Source organism: Homo sapiens, chromosome 18 (genome assembly GCF_000001405.40).
Source record: "Homo sapiens chromosome 18, GRCh38.p14 Primary Assembly".
Lineage (NCBI taxonomy): Eukaryota > Metazoa > Chordata > Mammalia > Primates > Hominidae > Homo > Homo sapiens.
In genome coordinates this window covers 74,904,759-74,920,243 of record NC_000018.10, presented here as the reverse complement: position 1 = coordinate 74,920,243, position 15,485 = coordinate 74,904,759, and the positions used below count along the sequence as shown (strand labels likewise).

The window sequence follows — 15,485 nt, the reverse complement described above, 5'->3', positions numbered from 1 at the left end:
ATTCTGGTACCACTCGAGGGCAGTGAAGGTGTTAGCTGATCCCTGAGAACACACCTATTACCACTGAGGAGTGGTACAAAAATGAAAGTGCTGTCGCCTCCACTGAATTTAGAGCATCTGGGGAACAAAGACACTTTGGCTTTTAAGTTCTGTCACGCAAGGTGCTTCTAAGTGGGCTCTAAAATAATGTGAAGATGGAATTGTAGCTAGAAACGGCTCCCAGGCTCAACTCCAGTATTTGGGCAACATGTGAATCCCGTGGCGTTTTCTGTGATGATACAGGCTTTTAAGAGTGATAAGAGTGATGGCATGGAAAATGCAACGGAGGGCCCATATATTCCACGCCACGGTGCCACTGAAATCAGGGGTGGGCTCCTCTCCCAGTGCTTTCCCGCAGAATTAGAAATGCAAGCCCTGAAATAATCAGCAAGCTGGGAATGGGGTGCTGTTTTTGAGGCAAACTGTTCTGCTTGCTCTTTCATCCCTGTCAGATCCTTTGCAACACAGACTGCAAGTCTAGACTCTTTCTGAATACACACGCGGAGCTGTTTTCCTTTTGTCTTTGTCATTTTTAGAACAGTAATAAAAAGAGCCCTATACAATTTCAAGTAGGTGTTGAGGGGTTATCTAGAAAGAAACAAACAAACCATGCTGGCCTCAGACTTCCTACAGACCAAAATTAAATGCCAGAAGAAAATAGAGCAATATGTTTATCACCATTTCCCAAAGGTATTGTGGAATAACAAAAATCCTGCAAGATGTTCTTAGAAGAAAGATTCCCATGAACAAAAAAGATCAGGAAACGGTAGTCAGCCAACACATCTCACAGTGCACTGCAGAATCTTGAAGGCTCTAAGAAGAACTTTATGTAGGTCTACAGTGCCTGAACGTTTCTAATTAGAATTGCTTTTGAGTATAATATTCAATTATACCATGTGTATTTTTTAGGGAATATACCTTGGGAAATATTGGTCAAGGAAGTGAAAATAACTGTTATCTCTCACACACAAAGGCAGTCAATGACGCTAGAAATTCAAAGACTCAGTGAATACGGTATCTATCCACTCCTGACGAGAGGAGTATAGGAAGTATCGTCCAAGCGAGGCAGAATTAATGTAAATGGCACTAGGAAAGGTATTCCCCAGACAGAGGGTGCAGGGATGTCCTTTCCTACAGACTCTGGTCAAAGCTGAAACGCAAACGTGTTCCTCATGAGTGGGGATCTCATATTCTGGAAGAGTTCTCGTACCTGCATCCAGACAGTCCTTTGGAAAAGTTCCTGCTACTTCCCTCCCATCTCCAGGCAGGGCTTGTCATCAAATGCACATGTACAACTAAATCTGCTCAGTATAATTAAACTGAACAAATCAAATCCCTCTATGCCTAGGAAAAAGACTAGAAAGAAATACATTAAAATATTAATGCAGCTATACTGCAATGCCCACTTACTCTTATTTTTCAAATATAAAGTTTTATATGTTAAATATATATATTTTAAAAATTAAAATAACAATAACACCTTTTTAAAAAATAAAAAAGGACTAGAACAACAGATATTTTCCCAGCTATTTTCAACTTGCTTTGGGCAAAGGCTCTGTCAATCTGGGTGTTACATTTCCCTGAGATCTTAGACTAAATACATGCAAGACAGTGAATGTATGCACACAAGCTTCTTTCTCTCATGAGTCACTACCGAATTGTCAAACTTGCTTTATATATAAATTCCCTATTGTGAACTAACAATCACTGTAAGAGGAAATAAAAGAGTAAGCACCTAATGTATGCCAGGTACCTCCACTGACTTGGCGACTTCGAAGGCAAGCATGACCCTCTGAGGTCAAGACTGCTACACAATTCACAGAGAAGAAGGTAAATATCACAATGATGAGCTGGCTACACAGGCTGTATGGCTGGTGAGTGGTTAAGGCAGAATCCTAACCTAGGTTTTCTGTTTTCAAGGCCAGAATGTTGGTATGTTTTCAAGTACACCACAGCCAGCTTTCCCTTTAAAATTTACGTATCAGAGACACTAGCACATTCTAAGCAAAGGATAGGACTGTAGAGTCTCTTAAATGTGTAATTATCCTTAGAGTAACAGCTCTGGGTCATGTCTGAAATAACACAGGAAAACATCTGAAGGTGACTGACACAAATGTCCACTTTTATGACAGTTAAAAGGAAAAGGAACAATTTTTTTTTGAATTCTTCAAGCTGGGTAAACCGTTCCAAATTACCCCCTTAATTCTGCAGATCTCCAACATGTTTTCTACAGCATTACAGACACCTCCTAAATTCACCATTGTTTACTGACACTGGGGAGAGAAAACAAAAAGCTACTACTGTACTTAATTAGTACTGTTTATCAGGAATGGAGATTCTTTGGTACCACCAATATTATTTCCTTATGTAAAATGCTAGGCATGAAACATCATCAAAGACAATCACCAATCATATGAAGAAATTAAAATTGCCAAAATAAATACATTTCAATGTATGATGCATATTTAAATGGAGAATAATATAAGCAATGAATCCTAACATTCAGGGAAGGGAAGAAAGAGATAACTTGGAAAACAGATTATTTTGTTTTCAAGAAGGCTGTATCTAGGACAAAAATAAGCCAGTATCTCTCAGTAACTAAACAGCATGTAGGATCTAACAACCGGGGACTATTACTGAAATAGGTAAGACGTATATGGGGACAAAGGGAGGGGAGAGAATTTAAAAAGGTAGGAAGCTTCTTTTATTTGAAAATATAAAATAAATCAAGAAAGACGTGGTGTGGAACTTGAGATTTTAAAAGGCATTAAGGACTATTCCACACATATATTCTTATACAGATATGTGCATATGTTTGTATACAGGATGTATATATACACACCGTGTTTTTATGTTCTATTATATTATACATATGTGTATGTATATTTGTAATTTTATGTTTTAAACATATACATACCAGAAGCATAAACACATGCAGACAAGAAGGAACTGGGAAGCGTTTGGGGAAATGAGAGTGAGTGTTAATGTGTATGGAGTCTCTTTGGGTAATAAAAATCTAAGACTGCTTGTAGTAATGGTTTCACAATTCTGGTAATATATTAAAAACCCAGGAAGGTTGCAATTTCAATGGGTTACTTGTCAAATATATGATCTATCTCTCCACTAAAACAAAAACAAACAAAAAAGAACTCTCGTGCCGTTGTCACCCTTCTTCCTGCCACTGGAACCTCAGAGGCCACATGTGCAGGTGGTAAAGTTACCAAGAAGAAGAAGAGGTTCTCAGCCTCCATGGGCCTTTACCTCAGTAAGCAATAAATTTTTAAGTCATTCAAATTTCAGAGTTTTGCCTGATGTGCAGCTACTGCTAATTATCACATGCTGCTAATCTCCTTCCTCAAACCAATGCTGCATACAACCTCACCATACCAGCACACACATGCACACACACACACACACACACACTCCCGATTCGAACCAATGCTGCATACAATCTCACCATACCAGCACACACATGCACACACACACATACACACACACACTCCCGATTCGAACGAATGCTGCATACAACCTCACCATACCAGCACACACATGCACACACACACACACACACACACTCCCGATTCGAACCAATGCTGCATACAACCTCACCATACCAGCACACACATGCATGCACACACACACACACACACACTCCCGATTCGAACCAATGCTGCACACAACCTCACCATACCAGCACACACATGCACGCACACACACACACACTCCCAATTCGAACCAATGCTGCACACAACCTCACCATACCAGCACACACATGCACACACACACACACACTCCCGATTCGAACCAATACTGCACACAACCTCACCATACCAGCACACACATGCACGCACACACACACACACTCCCGATTCGAACCAATGCTGCACACAACCTCACCATACCAGCACACACATGCACACACACACACACTCCCGATTCGAACCAATGCTTCACACAACTTCACCATACCAGCACACACATGTACACACACACATACACACACACACTCCCGATTCGAACCAATGCTGCATACAACCTCACCATACCAGCACACACATGCATGCACACACACACACACACACACTCCCGATTCGAACCAATGCTGCACACAACCTCACCATACCAGCACACACATGCACGCACACACACACACACTCCCAATTCGAACCAATGCTGCACACAACCTCTCCATACCAGCACACACATGCACACACACACACACACACTCCCGATTCGAACCAATACTGCACACAACCTCACCATACCAGCACACACATGCACGCACACACACACACACTCCCGATTCGAACCAATGCTGCACACAACCTCACCATACCAGCACACACATGCACACACCCACACACTCCCGATTCGAACCAATGCTTCACACAACTTCACCATACCAGCACACACATGTACACACACACATACACACACACACTCCCGATTCGAACCAATGCTGCATACAACCTCACCATACCAGCACACACACACACACACACACACACACTCCCGATTCGAACCAATGCTGCATACAACCTCACCATACCAGCACACACATGCACGCACACACACACACACTCCCGATTCGAACCAATGCTGCACACAACCTCACCATACCAGCACACACATGCATGCACACACACACACTCCCGATTCGAACCAATGCTGCACACAACCTCACCATACCAGCACACACATGCATGAACACACACACACACACACACTCCCGATTCGAACCAATGCTGCACACAACCTCACCATACCAGTACACACATGCACACACACACACACACACACTCCTGATTCGAACCAATGCTGCATACAACCTCACCATACCAGCACACACATGCACACACACACACACACACACACACACACACTCCCGATTCGAACACTCTTTACTAATCACTGCACAGCAGATACCTTGGGTGAAAAAGACGTAAACTAAGGATACTAGGCCCATTCCTGAGCTGGTGTGACTCCTCCTGGCCTCGCACTGCTCCTCTGGAAATATCCCTAGACCTTATTTTATCTCTGAATTTCCCTCTTCTGCCACCTGGGACCTCCTATTACAAGCCAAGAAGCTTATATCTGTCACCATCTATATGTATCTTGGTGTTTCCCTATGAAAGAGTTAATAAATTTTTCTTTTAAGAAAATTTATGAGAAGTCCAATTTCTCAGAAAAATGCAAAGGGTTACATGTATACTTTAACAAGAAGAATGCTAGGAAGAACTCATGTCACAGTTTTTCCATCTGTAATGAACTAGGAAGAAAGAGACACTGGTGCACATCTCTGAATGAAGGAGAAAGTGAAACATGCAATGACTGAGCAGTTTCCCTGGGGATTCACTAAGAACTGTCACCTTCAATCCAGTTTCCTAACCAACACTAGGATCAGTCCTATCCCCACCCTCTTCCTCTTATTCCTGGCAGCAGACGACCATGGTGCAGAGGAAACACCCCTGGGTGTCAACTCAGGCAGCCGGGTCCATTCCCCACATGAGGATTTCAGCACCTGCAGAATGTTTCTGTGATCTCAGGAAAGTACCTCAACTCTGAGATCTCTTTTCCTTAACTAAAAAATGAGGTTAGTACAGCAAACTACCAAAGGACTGAATGTAATCTATGCATTATCTTTTTCTTTAGAGAAGGTAAGCGCACATAAACACAAAATCTTCACCTGGGAAGTCAGAGAGTTGGTAAAAGCTATTCCTGGGCTCCAGGTTGTGGCTCCCAGTTCTAAAGGTAGGTAGGAAGTGACGGAGGGGAAAGGTGAGCAACACACACTGCATGGCTCCGGCACACAGCGCAAAGTCAGCGTCAACACAGAGAAAAGCTACCGAATCCGCAGCTCTCAGCAAAATACTAAGCTCTGCCCTGTCCTTTCTCAACTCCGCTCTACTGCTACAGCTCCACGTGACAGAACGTGTCACCAGGCTTTCCGCTGAGGAAGAACCTCTCCTGGCCCTCACAGGTGAAAGACGTTCCTCACGACGAGCAGGAAGCCTGCTGGAAGGGAAGTGAGATTCCCCAGCGCCAAGCTTCACACTCCTCACCAGGATTCCTGCAGGGCTCAGCAGAATAGAAACAGCACGCATCGCTTTCATGGAAAAGGCATTCTAAGAGTGCACTTCAAATCAAATTTTGGAATATAACATGTTGAAAGTCTTGAGCAGCTTTGACGTACAGAATTTAAAGCACGGGGTGACTGATTAGCAAAAGGGCCCAAGATGGGACCCATGCCTTATAGGGCTTCTTAAAAAACACATAATAAAAGAAATTTCTTATTCTGTTCAAAGGCGATGTATGTTAAAATAATAAACAGAACACCACAAGTACTTCTAGAACTCCACAAAATCATTAGTCAGTACTACACACTCACTTATGACCTATGGACACAAAAAGCCTGTTTATGTTATTGAACCTAAGGAGAAAGGAGTTGTAAAAAATTTGATGTTTATTTTGGTTGTTAAAATTATACCACCGAAGTTGTTAAACATCAGAGCATCCAATAATGGATATGACAGAAGTCTCCCTCCAGCACTGTCTCCACTGTACCCTGTGTCCCAGATGACCAGCTAGGTACAATCCCTAACTTCTTCTCAATCTTTCGGGAGAAGTAAACACTACTTTTTCAAGCTACAGATATGTCTTATATTCTTTTCTCACCACTCCCCTTGGCTAAATGCAGGGGCACCACACACACTGGCATCTCGCTTTTCCATGGAACAGCACAGCATGGGGCCTCGCCGTATCGAACACCGAAGGGCACGCTTATCTCCCCTACATGTCTCTACTCCCACCCTTACCTTCTTTTCTCCTTTTTAACAGCTTCATAGTATTTCAGTGTGGACACAACCTATTCTATCTAACTGATTCTTCACTGATGGGCATTTAGGATGTTTCCAATCATTTGCTAGTATAAACAAGGTTCCAGTGAATAATCCTGTAGAATGCTTTCCATTTCTCCAGGTGCCATGACAATCGCATCATGACAACTGGAATTGCTTCAAATGTCAATGGGCATGAATTCTGATAAATTCTGCCATACTGCCCTTCAGAGGAATTGTAGCAATTTACAATTCCACTAACAATGTTTCAGAGCCTGAGCCTGTTTCTGTACACGCTTGTCAAGGTAGGGGGCTACCAAATTTTTGAATTGTTGCCCATGTGGTGGGTAAACAATGGTATCTCATTGGAGTTTTAATTTTTAAGGTGTAACTTGCATTTCTCTTGTAATCAAAGAGGTTATCTTTCCAAATACTGAAAAGCAATGTATATTTTCTTTGTTATGTACTGCTCATTCAGATTTTTGCTCTTTTTTTCTAAATGATTGTTGGTCATTCTCTTATAAATTAAGGAGACTGGCTCTTTAGGACAGAAGTTGCAGACTTGTTTTCTTCAGTTTCATTTTTTTTCTTTTGACTTTGCTTATGGTAGGTTGTGAAAGCAAATGTTGATAATTTTGCTCTGTTGTTCTATGGCTTCCTTATTTGGAGACTATAAAACAACTGTTCCAAATTTGGTTCTAGTACCTGTAGAGTTGCGTTATATCACATTAAATACTAGATTTGATTCAAAATCAACCTACAGTAAGTTAAATGTGGATCCAGACTGCTACTCAGCTCTCTCAATAACATTTGTTAAAGTCAGATTTTCCCCACTGACTTGAGATGCCACCTTTGTCAGTATTTTAATTATGTAAGGTGAATTCTGGACTTTCTATTCTATTATACTTGTCTGTGTATTCACCTGCCACTCCATCACAATGAACCAGGTAGCAGGACGTTTCTGCCTGGTAGACCTCATCATTCTGCATGGCTCTTTTTCTCCCAGATCACAACTGCCCACCCAGAACCAACACAAAATCACTCACGGGACAGTGGTTGTCAGCTGGTATGGCAAAAATCTAGAGTTAACTACAGTACTAGAGAGAACCGGGCCAATAATAAATTAATATCACTATGACATACCCAGGTAATTTCTATGTATTTATTAATATGTGTTAATAATATTATCTAACTGATAAACCAAACAGCAGAGAGCTTGGCACAGATGTTATAGGATAAGTACCCAGGAGAGTGCCCAGCACACAGAGATTCTAAACAAACACTGATTCCCATTTTCCCCAGGAAGATCCATGCATCGGCCTCACTACCCCAATTTGCTTTTTTGTAAAATTAGTGGCTGTCTTGAAATACTGGCAACAATCAGGTCTGTTATGATGTCAGGCATGGGAAAGAGACTCTAGACAACAGAAAGCTCCTACAACCCACCGCCCAAAGAGCATTCTCATTCCCGCAACCCACTTTCCATTTTGCTTATCTCCCCACTTCACTACTCTATGTTTTCCATGCTGCTCCAAAAAGAAAGAATTCCTATTTCCTAGGTGATTTTGGGGGAACCACTTGACAGCATGGAGTGATCGCTCACTATTTTAGAATGCGTATTTTTGTGTGTGCCATGGATGGCTTCAGAAATGACTTAGTAAATCTTACAAAGATTCATTGAAAATAATAGTAGTAGTTTAGCTGAAGGGGGAGGCTAAAAGAACCGAAAATTGAATTGAGTGCGGTGGCCAATTGTTTCTTTTGTGGATGTGTGCACTCAAACCCCCTTATGTAATATACAAAAAACACTTCTTTTAAAAAAACAACAACACAAAACAGTTGAATTATGACACATGTATAAAAATCAATAAAAAATAAGGGAGAGTTTGCTAAACAGAGACTTACACCACATATCTGTATGGGTTGGCTTAATGTTAAATATATCAATTGCTGCTAAAGGAATCTATACAGTTAACACAATTACAATTCTAACAAGATTTTTTTGAGAACTCTTTGAGAGTGATGGTTAAATGGCTCTATAAAATAAGTAGGCAACATGTTAACATTATTACAGTAAGAGTTGTTAACAATCATCTATAGGGAGGGAATGGGCTATATCACAGAATGTGATGCAGCAGTAACTTTCTAAATGTACTTATCTTTACAAATGCACATATAGAAACATACATATGACATATTGGCAGAGAAAGATGTCTGCCGCAGATTGAGAAAAGCTACATGTAAAACAGTATGTACTAAAAACAATTAGAGGTATGTGTACATATACACATTCATAATACACACCACGAAAGTCACTTATATATAGATGTGTGTGTAAAGTAATTATACATACATGTAACACACACATATTACAATTCTACACAGGAGTATGGACAGCACCAGGTCTATGAGGATCACACTAGGTAACAGGGATTCTGCCCAGGGGGACGGGAGGTGGGAAAGGGATACGGGAAGGAGTCAGAGAACACCTGCAGTGTTGCGGCTGTGTCACAGGAAAGCCCACCCGTTCATTAAGTTTAATTTAAAAGTGGGGGAAAAAGAGACTAAACAGACAGCCAAAGACAAGAAAGACAAATGCAAGTGAAGCACTGCATTTTTGAAAATTATTATACTTAATGAAACTCTAATCATTAAAAATGTGGGAAACTGAGGGTGGTATTAAGAATGAAAGTGGCGATTAATTTCGTGGGCTAAAATATGGTTTAGGTAATGCAAGGCACTACATAGCGGGTTAAATTCTTCCGTGATAAGTTAAAGAGGCTTCACAATAAATTCTGGATAGATTACACATAACTGCTTTAAAAAGAATTATGAAACTAAAAAAAGACTTAAGTGAATGTTAAGTCATATATACTTAAATAGAGTATGAACCTAAAAATATGACTTTCAATATAAAATTAACCTTAATTTTTCTAAAAGGGTCAAAAAATGAGGGTGGGGTGGGGAGCTGGAGGGAGAGTCCACCTGAATCTATAAAATATAAGCAAGCAACCACATATATAGTATATATGTTTTGTTGATTTGAATATATACATATTTAAGTTAACCTATTATTTTAAAATAACGTATTACTTTGGAACTACTGCTTTTACAACTCATGTTTATAAACTATTCAAACTCTTCATATGCGTAAGTGTCTATCACTACAGTCATTTCTGTGATCTCCTAACAGTTTTCTAGAGTACAATATTGTCAGTCCCTCCTTCAGTTTGAGATACAGCATATTTTGACTCCAAAAATGATGTTGTCACTAGAGATTCTGTCTCCAGCTACATGTGCCCAATCATGTAACACTACGGCAGTTGTTTCCATTTGTTCTCCAAGAGTAAGTCATGAACTCCACATTATAACCAATCACTCTACTGCTTTTTACTCCAATTTTTCTAGTTTATTTACAACAAGAGAAATACATAAATTCCTCTTCTGGAAATACTTTTTTAGAAAGGAAAAACTCTGCCATTTATTCAAACATACACTACTAAGTATAATAAAAGCTGAAATCATAAAGTCAAACATAGATAGACTTGACTACACGAATACTATAAAATACTGCAAGTCAAAAGATCATAAATACAACAAAAATGAACAGAAAATCCATGAAATTTGTATAAAGGTTTATAAAACCCTTCTCCAAAAAATATTATTTCTGAAGATGCTAAAAGATGTTAAGAAAAACCGTAAGTACAAGTGTGAGGAGATCCGTGTTCAGGAAAGTAGGGGCAATACAGCAGACTGCATTTTCCTCTTAGAAACTCACAATGTGTACTTAAGCAGAAAATGAAAATTACAAAAAAAACCACAATCTAAATTGAAATAAAAATTTTGAAAGTTCTATTTAAAGAAATACGCTTAGTTTTGCTTAACATTTTGCTTCTCAAATTTTTTGACTACAGAACATTTTCTTTTTCAGTTGCTCTATGGTAGAACAACATGTACCTCAGAATGCCATCATGAGGATTAAGGTAAATAACATTAAGTATGTTCAGGTAATACGGTAGGTACTTGTTCTTTTTTTCTTCCTACCACTAGTTTTTATATTAAACACAAATGAGTTCAACTATGTGAGTCATTATCGGCGCTTTTCCTATTATACATGAAAAGCAACAGCAATTCATCTGACTAAAAATAGATTCCCAAACAGTTACAGTATATGTATGAGCACATGTGAGGTGTGTATCATGTGTGCAAAGTTAATTAGGCAGGTATGCAATTTCTTTTTTTTTTGGCCTGTTTATAGTATACTTTAAAAACTCACATCCACAAAAAGAATTACTCTATACAATATTATACGTTTATATAAAACTTTGGTTGAAAGGGGGTTTCTACTGTATCTTTGTAATATGATTCCAAAATGCATATAGAATAATCCGAAGAAAATCTTTATGTAAATTAAACTCAAGAAGTTAATTACATTTATTTACCAGGATTAATTATGATTTATAAATTTTCTGGGCAAAAATAAATCCTAAAAAAAAGACAAAAAATGTTCAAAGTAGAGGGGAATATAAGCCTCCATATATGTTGCTTTAAAGCTCACTGTAGGTTGGAAGAATGTGCTCCAATATATAAACTCGGAGCTTGTTTCACAATTTATGTAAGACAGCTTAAGATATATACTCCTTTATAACTTATGTTCTCACTAAAGGACCCATAAGGAAAGAGTCTGATAATTTTAGATTACTGAACATTTGTGCTGTTTAAATTTAAAATCGGTTAAAAGCTACAAGAATAAAGAACCTCAAATTCCTCTGCCTAAAAGGGAACATGTTATCAACGATGTTTAGCAAATAGATGCATGTCATTTGGAGTGCTGGACCACATGCACCACTAGAACAGAACAGACAGCACAAAGATCCATGTATATAAGAAACACAGATGTCATTTCATCAATTAGGAAATGATGGGCTATATAATAAATGGTGTCCATTCAACTGCTTATTTTATAGGAAAAAATAAGTGACTTATTGTCCTACACCATACAAAAATAAATACCATTTGGATTAAAAAATTTTAACATAAGGAAACCAAATTACAAAAATGATAGAAAAAATATTTTTATAATCTTAGTTAGAAAGAGTTCCCATAAAGAAAAAGCAACGTCCAAATGCTACCAAAATGTGTAGGAAAATATGCCTCATGAAAGTTAATACTGCTATATAGCATAATGCATCATAAATAAAGTTAAAAGGTAGGGCAAAGAAAAGGAGTAAAACTATGCAACATATACAAAAACTGGTGATTAATACGGATTCCAAAATGGGTTCCATTGATTAATTTTTTTAAAAGATAAAAATCTCAGAAACTAAAAAATATGAATAAGCAATTCATAATTGGAGAAATACAGATAGTTATGTAATCATTACACAGTGATCAAGGTCTCTAAAAACTAAGTAAATGCGAATTAAAACTTAAGGTGACAGATTGGCAAAATTTAATAAGTTTGATCATATTAAGTAATGGTAAGGGAAAATGATATACCTCTGGTAATGGTGTAAGTTAGCAAAAGCTTTTGAAAAACATTTGATAGTATCCTTCAAGTTTAAAATATACACACACCCTTGAAAGTTCAGAAGCTCAATTTCTAGATGATCCACAAGTCATTAAATCAATTTTAGAACAGCTAAACACTAGGCAAAATTTGAAAACTAAATGTCCATGAAGAGAGAAACGGGTTGTAAATGTACAGTGCATCCATACTAGGGAATTCTATACCATTGAGAGCTAAGAGTTAGCTTCTCCTACAGAGTTCCATGGAAATCAACCACATCCCGGCTGAATGGTGGGAGAGCACAGCCTGATCAGGGGAAAGAGAAGCCATTTCCCCGACCATGTACGGTTACTGATGTTAGAACAAGGCCAGAGATCTGGTAGGCCAGGTCACAGGACCACTCAACCTCACCTGCCAACACACCCTCAGAGGCATGGAGGAGCTGGATCTTCTCCAGTTGTGAAGCTTAAAAGTCCCACAGCGTAAGAGCCAGACACTTCCCCAGAGTCTGATGTCCAGCACCACAAAATCCTTGCGTGTTGCTCCAGAATGCGGCAGGTTATTGAGATAAACTGAGGAGAGGAGCGACAGCTGCTGCACTCCCTCTGTGAGTTTCTCTCAGTAAACCCTGTGGAAGAAAGCTTGGTGTGTGTACTATCTGGGCATTCAACCTTACTTGTTGTATAAAAGCCATTAAATAGAATAAGGTAGCTCTTATGAACATGGAAAGACTAATAGGATACATTATTAAGTTAAAAAAATCAAGTCCCAGATACATGTAGGTATGGGTCCTTTCAGCTTTTCAAAAATATACACATACGGTATGTGTGTGCATATACACATATATGTATACATAAGATTTATACATATACACATAAAGTATGTGTGCACACATATGCATATACACATACAGTGTGTGTGCACACACATATACATCTATGGCACTTATAAAATATATACGTATACACATACAGTATGTGTGCACATATACACATACACACATAAAATACTCACATATACACAGTGTGTGCATGCACATACAGACATACAAGCACATATAAAATATATACACATATAAAATATATACACAGAGTATCTGTGCACATATATACACCCACAGATATATGAAATATATGCACATACATATACAGATAAAATGTATACATGGAAAATACATACATTTATACATATAGAGATGTAAATGTATTAAATGTGTATTCAAAGGAAGCCTAGTAAACTACTGATGATATTTTTATTGAAGGATTTCCAAGTCCAAGGAAACTTTTGTTTTGCTCAGTGTATTTGGATCATTTTGGCTATTCATAAAAATATCTTTAAGTGTTCTACATATAAAGCAAATATGACCAAACATCTATTTGAAAAACACCCAGATTGTACAGCATTGCCAGGAATGTAAACCTGACAAACCACAGCAGAGCAGCACAGCTGACAGTTGGGGCAGAGGTGGATGTGCTTACGTGCCTGGATCCTCGTGTTTACACAGGGAGGAGTCAATCTGATGAATTTAGCAAAAGGTTTAAATGAGGAAACTCAAGCTGTAATCTCTAGGAAACCAGAAGGAATACTATAATCAAAACAGGGAAGAGAGGAGAGGGTGTGGTGGAGAATGGAGCTAACTTCTTTATTCTTTACAAACACCAGATGCAGCCTATACACCAAGAAGCTGTCTTCAGGACACCTCCAGGACAAAAACCAGGAATGCCTACAAGGGGTACTGCAGGAAAACGGGAAGAGAGAAGTGCTGGGAATGCAGGTATGGTGGCAAGACTCTGACTCCAAATAGTAATAATAACGTACAAAACTGGTAAATGTCAGGAGAATTTAAGTAAACTAGATATTTAAAAATAATGGCACCATATTACACTATTACACTACATACAGAATTACCCAAAGTCTCTTTTTTTATTCAGATAAAAAGAGTTTACAGCAATCTGAGGTAATCACAAAATACAATCCTTTGGACATTTTCAGCAAGAGGAAATTTTAGTTGGAGAGTTTCTGGATCACCTTGCTCTAAATCTTATGAATTTTATTTTCCTTTATTATAACTGGTAGCTATTTATTGAATGGGATAATTTCCATTAGATCATTTACTCATTACTTTTTGCTTTTCATAAATCTAAATTCTTTGAAACTAGTTCTTAGGACAAATTGATGCACATTGAATTTTTCTCTCCATTTCTCAGTTATATTTCTGTTCATGTTTATTATGCGATAAAAAGTGATTCTAAAACAGCACAGTGCCTCATAAGAGAAAGAAACTTGTAAGTTAGCACAGAAGTGGATGAACACTGACGCATTCTTGGTCTCATCCACCACCCTTGAGAGGATAAACTCCCATGCTTCCAAGTCACGCGGCTGTCCAGGTGTCCACATGCGCTCTCTGCGCGAGCAGCCAACCGGCTCTCGTGTGCCTCTGAGACGCTCCTGAACAGCAGGCGCTGCGCTGGCCTCTCTGTCACCCGCAGGAAACCTGTGCACATCTAGCTGCTTTTCTAAACGTCTGGGAGCAAGGCCAGCCTTTCAGACCCAATCATAGGCACTTCAGAAGACAAATAATTTAAACCTGATTACTGCTTCGGTTTATATGGAAAGTATATAGGTTACAAGAGAAGTCTACCTTCCTATGTGTTGACTTTTTACTTTCAAAATGAATTTTTTAAACATATTTAGTAGGTACTACATAAAAACAAGCCTAAAAACAAATCACTGTGGTCATGCCCTCAACGAGGATATGATTTTACAAGACAAAAGAGTTGTGTATGTTAAGAGCAGTAACAAAAAGCTGTGCTGTACTGCATAAAAGAAAACGTGAACATTTAGAAAAGGTTGAAAACCCACCGTGTCCACTTAGAGGACTGCTGCGTCTGCCCTTCAGTGACTCTTCAACTGCTAATGGCCTGAAATTGTCTTGCTTTCCACATTATTCCAAATGCTTTTCTAACTTCCACTGATTTCAAATTATGTTAACAGTAAACTTACATATTGATATGCCACTGCTTCAGATATATTTATCATATGAGATTTTCACCCAGAGTTACACTTGCTCCTTCTGTTTCAGGACTGTGAATAACTCCCCA

At 38.7% G+C, this 15,485-nt stretch overlaps 1 protein-coding gene and 1 long non-coding RNA gene across 5 annotated transcripts in view; one reads left to right on the top strand and one right to left on the bottom strand.

The window, feature by feature from the left end:
• LOC124904323 (uncharacterized) overlaps positions 1 to 14,454 on the top strand; it is a 30,823-nt gene extending 16,369 nt beyond the window's left edge. Inside the window, exons 2-3 of the long non-coding RNA XR_007066414.1 lie at positions 10,807 to 10,858; positions 14,047 to 14,454. This is a non-coding gene — a long non-coding RNA (uncharacterized LOC124904323). The remainder of the gene's footprint in view (positions 1 to 10,806; positions 10,859 to 14,046) is intronic.
• ZNF407 (zinc finger protein 407) overlaps positions 1 to 15,485 on the bottom strand; it is a 467,802-nt gene that overhangs the window by 145,428 nt on the left and 306,889 nt on the right. The gene's annotated exons all lie outside the window — the stretch shown is intronic.